The following is a 16,898-nucleotide window of genomic DNA, read 5'->3' as shown; positions in this document are numbered from 1 at the left end:
CTTTGGCTCTATACTCAAAATTTACCCTGATGGTCAAACTTTTCATTTAACTTTGTTTAGAAAATTCATCCAGCTGCTCCATACCAGGCACACACACACACACACACACACACACACACACACACAGACAAACACAAATACATATACATATACATCACATTCTATCACATTTATCTGCATTTATTATTCTCTGCAGCATTAACTAATATCAACAGGCAGAGGATGAAATAGCTGTTGAATGTCTGCCAACAAAGAAGGAAGTACAAAACTCCAAATCCTATATTTATTTTAATAGTAAAAACTATCTGCTAGTAAATTTGCTGTTTAGGATGAAGATAATATATTACTTTAATTCATGTGCACACACATGGAATGACCTTGCAGAGCCTCCTCCATGCCTAATTACATTTAAATAACAAGAATCTAGACTTGGATCTAGACTGAACTTTCATATTGTAATGAGAAGAGATTATTAGAGTTTGGATAAGAATGAATGTATTTTACATGTGTGAAGACTATAAATAAATTTTAAGCCGAGAGTGAACTGTGTTGAAATAAAGATGACTAGAATTTCTTTGACACATTCCCACTGACATACGGGGTCTTTTTCCTCCTCTTGAACCTGGCCTTGCTCAGTGACTTGTTTTAACTAATAAAATGAGCAGTAGTAATGTTTACAATGTGAGGCAGGGACTTAAGAGTGCACAGCTTCTGTCCCTGCCATCAAGTTCTTGTTTTGAGAACTCAGACATGGATGCTGTGAGGAAGTCCAAGCTTGAACATGTAAAGGCCCATGTGGAGGAAAACTGAGTTCTTTGGTCTATAGGCCCAACTGAGTTCCTAGCTGATGTCTGGCTGCAAATGCCAGCCCTGGAATTTAGGACATTTTGGAGAGCTTAGCCATCCCATCCCTTTAGCTAACACCACATACAGCAAAAGCATTGCCAAGTCAACTCAGAAATATGAGATAAAATAAACTGTTGCTGTTTGGAGCCACTATTTAAAATGAATATTTTATTACATGGTAGTGCATAACAACAACAAGGAAGCAAAATGTGTTATTTCAAAAACCAGAACCCCTTCTTTGGTTTCTCTGCTATCTTCTAGAAACATGGTAACTTTTGGTGGATCCTCTAAAGCCAGGTGGGAGATGAGAAAATAGAGAAATATAATATTGTAAGGTATTTATTTTAGGAACCATACTTTAATGTAACATATAGCTCTTCTTCCCAAATTTATTGACCAGAAATTGTACAAGGCCACATACAACTACTAAGAAGTTCAGCTATTTAGTCTAGCAGTATGCCTGAAGAAGCAAAGAAACACCAGCATCCTCCAATAGGATAGAAACACAAAGAATTATACTACATTCTTTTTCATATCTACAGGAAGCAAGAGTGTTTGCAAAATATGATGGTGCAAATACTAAAGTAGGAATCTTAAGGAAATTATTATTAATTTGAAATAAATCCTTATTAGAATGAATGAGAAATGACTTTGGAGGCTTTTGTGTTATTATAGATTTTGCAATGGCACTGATATGAATAGTTCTCACTTAATAAATATTCTACTTTGTCACAAACAATTTGAGAAGAAATAAGGATCTGCCATGGAAATTGAATTGAGGTTTTGGAAAAAGATATGGGGATATTTAAGGAACAGATGAGAGAATTTTATTAGCTAGAAAGTTGACAGGTCATGCCTATTATAATATGACCTTTCAGAAAAGATAATAGAGACAAGGGACACAGCGATTAGTAACACAGACTAATACAAATGAGATAAGTTAAGTGATAACAAATAAAAGAGAGACATATTTGAAGGCACAATTAATTATTTTAGAGGTATAAAAGTATAGTGGATGACCAGGTCTTGCAAGTATCTGTATCTACAGGTGCCTGAATTGGACTGAAGTGGAGTATAGAGAAGGATCATATACATGAAGACATTACAAAAGTGTAAGCTTAGTTGTTTTATAGTTATATATATATATATATATATAGAGAGAGAGAGAGAGAGAGAGAGAGAGAGAATTCAAAATTATTCCAAGACGTGTGAAGAGTTTTGTTACATATAGTTTCAATTTTAATAGAAGTAGAAAAGGTAAGGATATAGGTAACTATTTTGAATGAGGTGAAATGGCTATGAAGAAAGAGATGCTTGGTATGACCCTCCAAGGAAGAAATTGTTTATCTTTAGGTGGTTTAATGATGATCTAGAAATTATAGTAGGAAATCACGGCATGGTGACCTAATAAAAATGGCAACTTCCAAGCCTCAATATAAAGTAACAATGGAATTGTGAAGTGTGTGTGTATGCCGGTGGGTGTGCATATGTGTGTTTGTGTTCCTGCATTGCATTATTAGTGCTTTCTTAATAATATTTAATGAAACTTGAAATCAGAATTAGAAGAATGAGCCTTGGAATGGAATTTATGACTGATTAAACAGAGAGAACTCCATGTAGATTCACCTCTTCAGAGCTATATTTTAAATTTCAAGGAGAGGTATGAGTCCTGGGATTTACCTTTCCTATGGATATACTTATTTACACTCTAAATTAAAGTAAGAACTCAAGATTCTTCTTTTGGAGGGAAGATTTTTCTCCCTTTCTTTAGGGTGAAGGGGAGCAGCACTCATCTAAGCAAAAATATTTCATATTTTCATGTTCTTCATCTGTGGTACAGACTCTGACATGTGTAGGATGCCACGGTTATCAGCACCTTGCCCAAGTAATAAGAACTGAAGGCAAAAAGAGATGGCATAAGTTTTATGTAAGAATCAATAATTAATATATCTGATACAGAAACCTTATATGTGCAATCACAATAATAATCATAAAGTAGAACTTAAAACTTAATAATACAACAGCGGAATACTAAGTTTTATTTATGACCTATAGGAGATGGGAGAAACCCGTAATATGAAGTCAGCAATATACAAGAATGTAACTAAGGAACAGGAACTCTGAAGATCAGTATGAAATGTTTTGAAATGGTTGAAAAAATAGATAAAGATAGATGTAACACAGAAGTGTGCAGACGTAAGACTCTAAGGTGGAATAATCTTAGGGGTGTTTAAATATTGATGGCTTTTGAAAGTGTCCAAGGTATGATATAGAATCAAATAAGCTGTATTCAAATTTTCAACAAAAACCCATCATAAAGTTGCTAAAAATCAATTGTAGCAAACTGAATGTTTTTAAGAAATTATGCTCTTAAACATGACTTAGACAGTGGCACAGAGGTTTAGACTCTGTATCTTGACCTTGTAGTGAAACAAACACTGATTTCTGTGGTGGAACAATAGGTCTTGCCTGAACTTGGTTATTCTTCAAAGGAAATCCTAGTCAGATACTAACATATTTTGAGAAAATAAAGTTCATGTTCAAAACTGGGTTAGTAAATGTTTGCAATAGTGAAGAAGGGTGGGAGCAGTATCACAGACTGGGAACCCAGAGAATGACATGTACTGTTGTACCTCTAACTTTGAGCACAAGATTTCTATTACAAATATGGGAATTTTATAGCCTCAACCCACTAGTTATTTTCAGAAAATTATCTTTGTATAGAGTAAGATTCCTTTATTTGGATTTCACTTATGCAGAAAACCACATCCTTCCATTCTGCCAGTAAACTAAGTACATGAAACTCTCCAATCAGGAAAAGCTAAAGAGACAAAGTTCCTCAAGCCAGCTTCACTCTGTACTACAATCATCAAGCAAATGGGTGGATGTTTAAAAATGAAACAAGAACTGCATTTTCTTAAAAATCACTCTAAACTAATTCTATAAGGTTGTTATAAGGAACTAATGAGCCAACTTGTTGAGGTGCTTGGAACCATTCTGGCACAGTGTTGGGCTATGTGTTTGTTGAATGAATACAATCATGATGAGAAGTTTGAATTGTTCATCTGAAAAGTCAGAGGCAACTATTAAGTTCATCTCCCATGGCTTCGAGAAGAAGATGCTCCTGAGGTTTCAGTTTGTAACTGTGAGTTTTCTATGAGAGTAGCTGTGTATGTGGGGGGTGTGTGTGTGTGTGTGTGTGTGTGTGTGTGTTTTGTTTCTTTAGATTTAATTTTTCTAAATAATTTTTTAGTTTCATACCAAAGTCTCATTATTTAAAACAATACGTCAGAGAATACATTCATGTTTCTGAAATTACTGAGTTCAATGTCACAATTAGCATCTGTGATAAAGTTTTATATGCTATTATTTTAAATTAATAGAATTCTATATTTAAAACCCTGCTATAGCTATTTAAAGGATTTATAATGTACTTTGAATTGTTTTAAAATTTGAATTAATTACCAGTATAATAATTAAGAAGAAACACAGGGAAATATATTTAGCATGTTTTATGTATTTTATGTTAAACTAAATACAGACATTATAATATAAATGAACTTTAGCTTTTCTTTGGAGAAGAGATGTGAACACTAACTTTGTTAACTGTAGTCACATGTTGTACGATAGATTTCTTTAATGTACAGTTAATAATATATTAACTATATATAAACTAATAAATTCTTGAAAAATGTAGAGACTGGATATAAAATGTTTTTACCTCAAAAAATGATAATTATGTTAGGGAAAGCTAATTAGCTAGATTTAGTCATTCCCCAATGTACATATACTTGAAAATATTATGTTGTACATGGTATGTACATATACTTTTTTCTGTCTTTTCTTTAGAAAGTAATTTTATTAATTAAATTTTGTATATGTTAATCAGAGTTTTAATATAGTTTCAATTAATGATAATCAATGTTTCTTAGGTAGGAAAAAAGAGAAGTCTTTAATATAAGTTATATGTCCTTCAACAAAAAGCATGAAGTCAGTAAGAACCCAAGTGATTCAATTTTCAGTGTAGTGCACTGTGGTTTAGTTCCATAATTCTCATTATGGTTAATTGGCATCAGGCAGTTAAACTTGCTATACTACACTAAAAATGAAATGAGTACAATAGCAAGCTGTGCATATACTTCAAATATGTTTAATATCCTGTTGCTGTACTTAAGGTTTACTCACCAGGGAGGTTGTTGTCTTCTAAATAGTCAGAAGGAAGAAAATAACTTTGAGCTTTCTAATTTGAACAGTAAATGTGCACAGAGGAAAATAGGCTATGTGGACGAATGACTTAAATGTCCCCACAAACTAACCATCTACGCGAAAATACCATATTATTTTTCAATTGCTGTGTAATTACCATAAACTTAATGATTTAGGAATACACAATTATTATGTCAGTTTCTGTGGGTAAGGAGTCTAGGCATGGTTTTGCTAGGTCTGTTGTAGAGGGTCTCACAAGGTTGAAATTAAGGAGTCAGAGAAGCTACATTTTCACTTCGAGGTTTAACTGAGACAAATATCCCTCCAAGCTCATTTAGACTACTGGCAAAATTTATTTCCTTGTTCTACAACTCAGGACCTGACCTCTTGCTGGCTTCTTCAGGAAGCACCCTCATGTCCCAGAAGCCATGAACAGTTTCCTCTCATGGGTGAGTCTCACCCAAACCTCTCAAAACATGACAGCTTGCTTCTTAAAGGCTAAAAAGAGAATAGCTCTCTCCAGTATTCTAAAATGAAATCTTCTAATTACAAAATGTGACATAACCTAACCCTGGAACTGGCATTCCCATTATCATTGTCATCTATTAGCTAGAATCTAATCTCAGGTCCCACCACAATCAAGGGGAGAGGATTATACAATGATTCACTGGAGTTCATCCTATGGAATGTCCACCACAAATGTCAATCTGCTTAAGACTACTTCTTTACTTCTTTATTCCATATTAAATATAGACTCATCATTTCATTTAAAACTTCTCTAGCCGGGCACTGTGGCTCACGCCTGTAATCCCAACACTTCAGAAGTCCGAGGCAGGAAGATCACTTGAGCTCAGGGATTTTAGACCAGCCTCGGCAAGGCTGGGTGCAGTGGCTCACGCCTGTAATCCCAACGCTTTGGGAGGCCGAGGCAGGTGGATCATGAGGTCAGGAGATTGAGACCATCCTGGTTAACACGGTGAAACCGCGTCTCTATTAAAAATGCAAAAAATTAGCCGGGTGTGGTGGAGGGTGCCTGTAGTTCCAGCTACTGGGGAGGCTGAGGCAGGAGAATGGCGTGAACCCGGGAGGCGGAGCTTGCAGTGAGCTGAGATCGCGCCACTACACTCCAGCCTGGGCAACAGAGCCAGACGGTGTCTCAAAAAAAAAAAGAAAGAAAAGAAAAGAAAAAGAAAGAAAGATCCGCCTGGGCCACATGCCGAAACCCGTCTCTGCAAAAAATACAAAACAATTAGCCAGGCGTGGTGACCTGTGCCTGTAATCCCAGCTATTCCGGAGGCTAAGGTGGGAGAATTGCTTGAGCCAGGGAGGTCAAGGCTACAGTAAGCGGTGATTGTGCCACTGCACTCTAGCCTGGGTGACAGAGCGAGACCCTGTCTCAAAAAAAATAAATAAATAAAAATAAAAAATAATTCAATTTTTCACTTCTTTCCTCGAACTTCCTGTTTTATTTCCTTATAATTTTCATCTTTTTTCTCATTATGATTTTTCATCTTTCTTGATATAAATGTATGAATTATTTCTCTTAAAAGGCTTATTAGAGAAAATATTTCTTCTTAATCCAGCTATCTTTCCTTGTATGAAATTATTTCTATAAATCACCACAACACATTGGATAATTGGATAAATTACCTCCTCTCTTTGTCAAACACATCATGTCTCTAAAACAACCCAGACTATTCTCTTTCAATTATTTGCTAAACAGGTCAGTGTTATGTGATGATACCTGGCCAATACGACAAGGTTTCTGGGACTATTTATTACGGTTAACACTTAATACATTGGTTGGTATTTTAATATAAAGAAGCTGTATGAACACCACTAGGTAAATGGTTAGCTGCATAAAAAGCGTTTTTTTAATTTAAAAAATTTACGTATGGATATCATATCATTATGAAACATGGATACTATGCAAAATTGTATATGAAAGAATGAATTGACTGACACATGCTTACTTTTAGTATAAACATGGATTTATATTCAGAGACATCAATATTTTTGTTATACATATAAATCATTATTGTCAACATATGGTTTAACTTTCATTTCTGGAATCAACAACACTAAATTGAACACAGTTTTATTTAAATCAAAGTGTTGTGGGAATCAACAGCCAGTTTCTGTAGTTGTATGGTTGTTGAAATATTTACCCGTTGGTGTCATTTCTTATGAAAATTATCAACATCAGAATTTGACAGATTTTTTGTATTTAGAAAAGATTACTTCATAAATTAATATGTCCTAGTTATTGCTACAAATAGTGCAGTTTTACTTGAGTTATTTATCACAATCTTGTTGCAAAGTTATTATCCCAGTCTTGCAACTCTATATGTCACTGTTGATTTTAAGGCCTTCTTTTTATGATCAAGTCATATCTAAAATGGTACTTAGCAATATATTGCAGTAATTAGACATTCTACAATCTATCATTTTTAAAACATACAATATTTTTCCTCTAAATAATTGGGTCTTATAATATCATGAATAATTTGCTTATTTTGAAAAAGATTTCAATGTTTAACAACTGGGCTTACTTTGACAACTACAAATAATAAATAGATAATATGATATAAAAGTAGGCACCATGTGATCTTTAAATTCAGATGATAATAGGTAATCAATATATTTAAGTGAATTAGTCCAAATAGCAATTTGATTCATTAGAATTTCATTGTTAGTTTATTCTATTTTGCTTTCATAACAGATATTTCATTGTTATATATATATATAACAGATCTTTCATTGCATTCATAACAGATATTTCAAAGCTGGTCCATAACTGGCCAGCTTTGGAATTTAGTGACAGAATTTAGTCACAGAAATTCCAATTACTTCAAAATAACTTTTCAAAGACAAAGATGTGCTAATGACCAAAAATAAATTTCTTAAAATACAGAAAACAAAGATTTATGACAAAGAGAAAATTATTTCCTTCTTTTTAAATTAATGAATAACAAAAATTTAGACTAACATAAAATTGATAATATATATGTTTACATGGTAAATTATTGCTACAAGACATATTTCCATCTAAAGATCTGTATACTATTTCCCAAAACATTATAAATTAATTTCCAACTTACCTATATACTTAGATGTTTTAGGGAAATGAAGTAAATTCACTGTGATATTATTTTTTCATAGAATAGTTATTCATAGCCCTGGAACTCTTCTAAGAGTAGCTATTAGAAAGAAAAGCATATACAAATATTACCATGCTTAAATAACTCTAGGCATTCTATGCAATTGTAGTAAACAGTGAGGCTGGAAAACTGCTTATTTCAAGAGTCATACTCCTTTTATTTTAAGTAAGCCTTTGGCTTTGAACTTCTAGAGAAGCTAGAGTTTATCTCATGCAAGAGGGATCAAGGATTTAATCTTCACTATAGGATTTGAAACATTTTCAAGGGAAAACATGAACTTCAAAAATGCATCACGCTGCCTGAACTACCCAGGAGTGGTTTTCTTAAGTTATATGAACACCCATACAGTGAAAGTAAATACTAAAAAAAGTCTGCTATTCTCATATACTCCTGGCTTTAAATAGAAGTTTGTTTTTTAACATTGCATAAACTTTGCATGGATAGGTCATTTGACTCCGCCAAAATTATTATAAAAACTGGATTAGCTTGGGGATTCTTAAGCAGTGCCTCAAGAAGAAACTTACACCGTTTTTTTTTTTTCCTTATAAAACAGTTTTAAAAATCTATTCTGAGATGGAAACTTTTATCTAACCAATTTTTTAAAACTTTAAAACCAAATAATATATTTTTTAAATAGCATAACAATTCTGAAAGCAAAGTAAATATGGCCTCAAGTCTGAAAACAGTCTCATCAAAATATTGTATAACACTTGTTACATGTTAAATATTTAGCTTTTACTAAAATAGAAAAACAAGAAAGCAAGCTTTCCTGAAAGTATGTGTTCTCCACTCTCAATCACATTTCATACCTTTACATGCCTGTATTTCAAAAATTCTATTGAGATAAAAGTATATTTTCTTTTTTTTTTTTTTTTTTTTTTGAGACGGAGTCTCGCTCTGTCACCCAGGCTGGAGTGCAGTGGCGCAATCTGGACTCGCTGCAAGCTCCGCCTCCCGGGTTCCCGCCATTCTCCTGCCTCAGCCTCCTGAGTAACTGGGACCACAGGCGCCCGCCATCACGCCCGGCTAATTTTTTGTATTTTTAGTAGAGACGGGGTTTCACCATGTTAGCCAGGATGGTCTCAGTCTCCTGACCTCGTGATCCGCCTGCCTCGGCCTCCCAAAGTGCTGGGATTACAGGCGTGAGCCACCACGCCCAGCAAAAGTATATTTTCTTGTGTATTCATTGGTTTGTTTGCACTGTCATATTAGGGGTTGTGGATAGAAATGAACCTATAGTGTTGGATTTCTGATGCAACTTTGTCCAAGCTTCCATAACAAACTTCATTGTTTTTTAAGTGTTTCCTGTGTATAAGGTATAGAATTTATAAGGTATAGCTATAGCCAATCTATTTATGAATATGAACAAGTACAGTTAATTTTAAAATTTACTAATTTCATAGTTTATATAATCAATACATTTCTATTAAAAAGTTGATCATTTAAAAGTAGATATGAATCAAGTGAATAAGATAATACGTGCTAAAAGTTACTGATGTCTAAATTATGTACAAATCAGTATATTATAATAAGGAGAATTTATTATTTCAGAGTTCTTATGTGAAAAAAGATAAAATTAAAAGAACAGAAAATTGTCTTGAAAAGAACTGAGAAAATACAGCCTAGATGATAAGGTGACTAGCATCTGACCTCTACTGTAAGGAAAAATTCAGTAAAGTATGTTCTTTTAGTTTTCTCACCTGTAAAATTAAAATATGAAATTAAAAAGCTTTTCTAGATTTGTGATCATCAATGTACTAATAGATGTTAATTTCAAATAACATTCTATGGTCAAATAAATTTTGTGATAATTACCTTAAACCAAGTTCAACATATTTCCTTATAATGTTTTCTTAAATGCTAATTGCATTGTGGATAAGCGTTGCCTGATTTAACAAATAAAATACAGAAGTGTCTGTTACATTTAAATTTTAGATAAACAGTGAATAATTATATGACCTATAGTAAGTATGTTCTTTGCAATATTTGGGTCATACTAAAATATTATTTCTTGTTTTTCTGACATTGAAGTTTAATTGGATGTATTTTATCTGGGAAATTTAATTGTAAATGTTCAAATTTAACTGGGCATATTTCATCTGTCAACCCTATTTGTGAATATCAGATAAAGAGGTGTAGCTTTCCCCAGAGACCTGTTTTTTTTTTTTTCTAATATTTGATGGGGAAGTTCTGGAAGACATCTAGCTTGTAAACAACGCTAAACTCTGTTAAGTCTCTTCAGTTGTAAAGAAAATTTGAACTGAGATTAATTTAAAAAAAGGAAAATAATATCAACAGCTAATATTTATTCAGTACTTACTCAAGAGAGAAACTATCCTTGAATTTTTTCATTAACTCTACATGACAATTGTTATAATTCTTGCTTTCCAATGGGGAACTTTAGGTACTTGAGGCTTCAAGACTGCAGAGTTTATAAGTGGTGGAGCTGAGGTTTAAAACACCAGCTGTTTATGACAGACTTCTACCACTATCAAAGCTTAGTCACTACTATGTACCTCCTCTTTACTGTGTATTTCATAATATAAAAATTTTTTCAAATATAACTGAGTAAACTGTATTTTATTTAGAGAATTAGTTTCATTTTGGTTTTATTTTTTGAGATTTTTTTCTTTCAATATTGAATTTGTAAGAGTCAGGTTAGCACATAATGGTGTTTTGTTAGCAAATCCTTGGCAGGAATAGACATGTGACTATGTGTTTAGAAGCCTTAAGAAAAATAACCAATTCATCTTTTCACTAACTTAATGGAAAAAACAAACTTCCAAGTCATCCCAAATGGAGTTTCTTTTTAAAAGTAAGTAAATGTTTTCATTTAAAAAACTTTAAGTGAATATATATTAAAGGTTGTAAAATATAGGGGCAATAGAATGGATTATGCAAAAACTACACATGTACTTTATGTAGTAACACTGATGTTGAATTGCAAAACGGGAATACACAAATTTGGTATTGGAAGGATTGTAATTCTAATTTTTCCTTTTTTCTTTGGTGGTAACAAGGAAATATTACATTTTATTATATCTATTTTTTTACTTGCAAGAACAAATTGCCTTTTTGTTTAAAATATGCTTTTTAAAACTTCTTATTAGTCATTTTAAACTGCTTTATGAATAGGAAAGAACAAGGGTTGCTGTATCATTGGATCCTGGATGACTAGGTCTACATCATCACCTACCAGATGCAACTGGGGCCTGAGAGGCATTGCTACTGACATTTCGGAGGTATGGAGATATAACGGCAGATGTGTCAGGCATAATAAGAAAGTCTGCAGGCTTCTTCTTTAAATTACAAGAAATGAGAAGCCAGAAATACTTAGCATTACTGAGATGGGACTTTTTATAGCCGAAATGTCCTTTAGCCTGCACACACTTTGCATCCATGTTCAAATTAACATCGCTATCTAGTCACTGCAGAGAAGCTGAATTCATATAAATTCAAACATTGTGGAAAAACTTACCAGATTAATTTTCTTTTCTTAATGATATTCAGGAACTAAAGGGAGACTATAATAATTCTGGCATTTTTGTCACACATTTTCTGTTGTTGCAGAACTTCTAGAAGAAACAAAGTTGGTGTTTTATTCAAAAAAGTAAATGTTAAAAAATTAAATACTGCATGTTTTTATATGATAATCTAGATGGAATTATTATCGAATATTAGGAATAGATAGGAATAAAATACTCTGTTTAATAAAAAAATAAAACAGAGATACATGGATGCTTTTAGAGTAAAAAAAAAAATGCTTTTAGGCCAGGCTCGGTGGCTAATGTCTGTAATCCCAGCACTTTGGGAGGTCGAGGTGGGTGGATCACATCTGAGGTCAGGAGTTTGAGACCAGCCTGACCAATATGGTGAAACCCCATCTCTACTAATAATACAAAAAAAGTAGTTGGGCGTGGTTGTGTGCCTGTAGTCTCAGCTACTCTGGAAGCTGAGACAGGAGAATCGCTTGGACCTGGGAGGCAGAGGTTTCAATTAGCCGAGATCGTGCCACTGCACTCCAGCCTGGGTAACAGAGTGAAACTCTGTCTCAAAAAGAAAAAAAAAAATTGCTTTAAACTAATGAGAACAAGGCTTGAAAGTGACTTAAAGATCACAAAGATCAACCATCCACCAATAATCCAAATGAGTATATGTTATATATATCATATTTTGTGTATCAACTAAACCTTTTAAATATTCAAAATTTGAATGATAATTTTATGTAATATATGTTACATTCAGTCCACAGAACCAACAGGTTTCATATGTACTTAATGAGATATAAACATATTAAAGCAAAGCAAGTAAATGAGTTTTTATTCATAAGTAACTTGTTAATATGATAGTAAAATAATTTAAAACATACCATTACATGGATATCATATAAATAAGAGATTATGTCCATCTAAACAGGCAGGTATATCAAATATATGTAGCAACTGGCATGTTTTAAATAAATCAACTATTCTTTTCTGCAAGTCTAGATCACATTTCTAAAAAAGAGCTTTTATTACTCAAATTATTTTTCTAAAAATCTTTTCCTCAATAACAATAATAATAATGATAATAATGTATAAATGACTAAATTGTTATGTTGTTTAATTTTTCTCCTTCCCTGTCTCCCACGTAGAGTGTTTTGAGTGTGGTTTGTGAAAGATTGCGAGTGTTTGAAAGAAGGTACAAGCCCAGTAAAAATAGTAGAGAAATTATTCCTAGAAAATTGACAAGTCTAAGTGACTCACCTATCGTAAAAGAAACTCTGAAAGGGATCATAATATTGTGGCAGGCTTGTGTCAAATTATAAAATGTTTTTAAAAAGCCAAAAAAATTATATCCTGATTTTTCCAACATTACTGCAGAATTGAATGAAAGCAGTAAGTAATAGCTCAATTTAGGAAAGGTCCTCCTATTTATGGAGTATATCATTTAATGTTAATTGCATTTTTACAGCAAACAGAGAACACTCTATAATAGCACAAATAATTATAAATTTTTAAAATCTAAACTTTAGGTAAGGTTTAGGTGCTAAAGCAGTAGGCTCACAGATATGCTGCCCAAGGCTCAAATGGATCACAAAGGGCACATATTCTTTTATTTTTCATTTCTGCTCTTTTGTCATTCATCTGTGACTTTCCAATCACAAACAGGAGATGTGCTGTAACTCTTCATTTGGGTCTGAGTTCCAGGAAAGAAAAAGAGCATTTTCTCTTAATAAAAATGTATCTTTATTATTTTTGGTAGAAGCATTTTGAACAATGTCCTACTAAAGCACTTTTACCTTTTCTTTTTTGACTAGATTTCTTTTATATGACCATCATATGTGCACACGTGAGAAGGTAGATATATTAATTTTGCCACCTAAAAGGTAGGGAAAAAAGGAGTGAAAAAGATTGTGAATGGCTTTAAAGTAACAAATTTATACTGTCTTCTAAGGGGATATTTTCAGGATATAAAACTATTTTATATTAAACTAGTCTATTAATATATTAAAGTAGTCATTTTTGTCAGCACTGTCATTTAATCATTTAAAGGTAAGTAATGACTACAGATTTGCTATTTCTCAAATTAAACAGAATAAAAGAAAGAAATTTAGCACGTACTTAAATTTTTTTTTTGTTTCCTCATTTTTAGAGCAATCTCTTCCCTCAGCCAGATAAAAGACAGTGAGAAAGATGTTGGCTTAAAGAAGTTTGTGTGTGTGTATGTGTGTATGTGTGCATAATGGTAATTTTGTTTTTCCTGAAAAGAAAGTGTAGTCAATGAACATTTATTCTGAGATTAAGCTTTGCTGCTGATTGCTTGTATAATGTGTTCATCTTACAATTCATTTCCAGATAACAGTTGCATGTAGAGTCCTGGGTTTGTATTAAAAATATTAAAGTTCTCATCATTTGAGCAAGTCTGCATTGAGTTTTTATTTTTATTTTTTACAATTTCATTACATAAGAAATCAAACACTCCTTTTCAAGTAGTTTGAATTTCTTGAACTTGGCTTCATAATTTATAGATGAAAGAGAATTCTTTGCCTATTCCTCTATTTGATTTTTAAGGGGAAAATGTGTTTGCTTAAAGACTCTGGGCTATACTGCATCCTTAATGAAATCAATAGTCTAGTGCAGAGATCAAGGATGGGTGAGAGCCCTACCTACATATTTAACCTGTGAACATTTTGTTTCTGCAGAGACCTGTGATCACTGTAGCCACCTGGTATCTAAAAGATTTCCATGGAAGTTCTTAAACATGAATCTTTTTCATCATGCTGAGATATTACTTGAATATTAGCAGAAATAATTCATTCACTCGTTAGAAATGTCAAGGTAAGCATTGTCAAGAAAAAGAGTACTATTAGTGCTGAAGTGCTCAACTGCTCTAAAATTGCCTTTAAAAATATGTGCAGACTACAAAAAAAAGCAAAATCTTAATTACCCTATATAGACTTAGAATTGATGCGTCACTGAAGACTGAATCAATTGGAAATGTCTGGCACTAATTTTTCCTCATACTTATTCAAATATACAAAGAGGTGTAATTAGATAACATGGTTGTTTATGGTTGTTTGGTTGGCAGGTTGGTTTTCTTGAGACTGGGTCTCACGGTCGCCCAGGCTGGAGTGCAGTGGCGAGATCTCGGCTCACTGCAACCTCTGCCTCCCGGGTTCAAGCGATTCTCCGACCTGGGCCTCCTGAGTATCTGGGATTACAGGTGCACGCCACCATGTCCGGCTAAGCTTGTATTTTTTGGTAGACATGGGGTTTCACCATGTTGGCCAGGCTGTTCTCAAGCTCCCAACCTCTGGTGATCTGCCTGCCTCGGCCTCCCAAAGTGCTGGGATTACAGGCGTGAGCCACCGCACCCGGCCAGCTACACATATTTGACAGACCAGAATGAGGCATATTTTTAGATACCCAGATTGGGTGTTCAAGAATAGAGAAAGAGCATTGGATATTTATGGAGCAATAAAGTGTTTGAATATGGGTTCAATTTAAAAGAATTTAAAAGAAATATGAACTGTCCTGCAGATTCCCTTTGATGGCAGTCTTTTAAAATGTGGCTCTAGGGGTTGTATTTGAACCTCTTTCAGGCAAAAATAAACCAAACAACAGAAAACTACTTTCTACAAGTCCAAATAAAAAGTAAATAATTTCTCCTACACTACTATGATTTTCATTATATTTGAGATTTATTGGAAGAAGCTTTTCCGTTTTTATTTCTTAGCAGGTGGATAGATCTCTAGAGATTAAAAACAGTATTTGACATTTTTAGGAAAAACTATCAAGAAACCCTGAAGATCTTTAGTATGAGAGTAAATTTCTGACTAGTCATTAGTGACACCATTAGTTAAGCATGTTGAAGTTACTTTCCTTTTAGATTGCAATTCCAAAGGTAGCATTTGATTGCTTCAGACATTGAGCAAATAACCATTAGCTTCTGAAACTATTGCTGGCATTGCTTATTTCAATCCATCAAAGCCTCTTCTTGTGATAAATATAGTATTTCAATCTAACTTCTCCCTTTGAGTCGTGCTGAACATCTGCATATCTTTTCAATAAAATGGCCAGGACTTAAACTGGCTTTTCCCTGAGGACATTTGATCCTTCTATTGCTAGTACAGTCCTAAGGCTGGATGTGCTGGGTCAGGCTGGGAGGCAGGGGCTCAGGGGTTATGTTCTTTGATACACGCCAATGCAATTTCTTGTTCTTGTTTTAGCTTCTTGCAAATTAATTAATTCATTAATTCATTCTACTTTGGGGCTTAGGCTATCTGACCTTATCATTATTATGTAACTATTATTTCATATTGTTATATGCAGTCTTCTGGGTCACTTCCTTGCATTTTTTTCCAAAAAACTGATATATACAGTGCAAACCAAAGGATCTTCACTCATCCCTCCTCACCTAAAAATGCATCAATGCCACACTCATTCTTTCTTCCTTCTAGTACTAGCGAATAAAATATCCATCTAATTAAAGCAATTTCAAACAACATTCTCTGGATCCTTCCCATTTGTCTTCTCTTTCCCCCAAAGTTCCCAAGGAAACTTGCTTGATTTCAAGACAATTGAAGTGTCACCTTCTCTGTGAAGCTAGCGCTGCCTACACCAGGTTTAACAGTGTCCTTTTAAGCTTTACTTCTTTGTCTCTCTCTCTCTGCTCTCATTTATTACATTTATCACACTACATTGTAATTTTTCTTCTAGCTTTTTTAACACACCATAAAGGAGAGAAATGTGTCTTTTTCAACCATTTATCCCTCAGATCCAGCAAAAAATCTACTCAGTAAATTCTTGTAGAATGTTAGAGAAAAATAAGTAAATGGCGATTTCAATTAATTGTTCTCTTTTTCTCATTGATGGGTAAACTAATAATATTTAAACTTTAGTAGTAAAATATGGCAAGTAGAATATGCATATCCAAAAAGACATGCAATTATCTGTTACCAAAAATTTTCCATTTGCTATGTCAAATATAAGAATTTACAAAAACATACAGGAACTGAAATTTAAGCAATTTTGTCAGATCACATTACCTGTACAGAAAGATGTGTATCTGTATTTAAATTATTGACTGAAATTTTATTGGAAAGTCCTGGAAATTGTCTGTAACATTATCTTCAAGACCCAAATATCCTAAAATATACCACATCTCTTTTACTGATATATAATTAACAGGTAACAAAATACA

At 33.3% G+C, this 16,898-nt stretch overlaps 1 long non-coding RNA gene across 1 annotated transcript in view; it reads right to left on the bottom strand.

Annotated features, from left to right (window-relative positions):
- The window catches only part of LINC01075 (long intergenic non-protein coding RNA 1075), a 37,670-nt gene that overhangs the window by 14,066 nt on the left and 6,706 nt on the right, over window positions 1-16,898 (bottom strand). The window contains exons 2-3 of the long non-coding RNA NR_125787.1: window positions 11,692-11,788; window positions 8,154-8,252 (exon numbers count right to left, since the gene is read on the bottom strand). This is a non-coding gene — a long non-coding RNA (long intergenic non-protein coding RNA 1075). The remainder of the gene's footprint in view (window positions 1-8,153; window positions 8,253-11,691; window positions 11,789-16,898) is intronic.

Source organism: Homo sapiens, chromosome 13, assembly GCF_000001405.40.
Source record: "Homo sapiens chromosome 13, GRCh38.p14 Primary Assembly".
NCBI lineage: Eukaryota > Metazoa > Chordata > Mammalia > Primates > Hominidae > Homo > Homo sapiens.
Note: the sequence above shows the minus strand (reverse complement) of the source record. Positions and strands in the feature narration are given on the sequence as shown.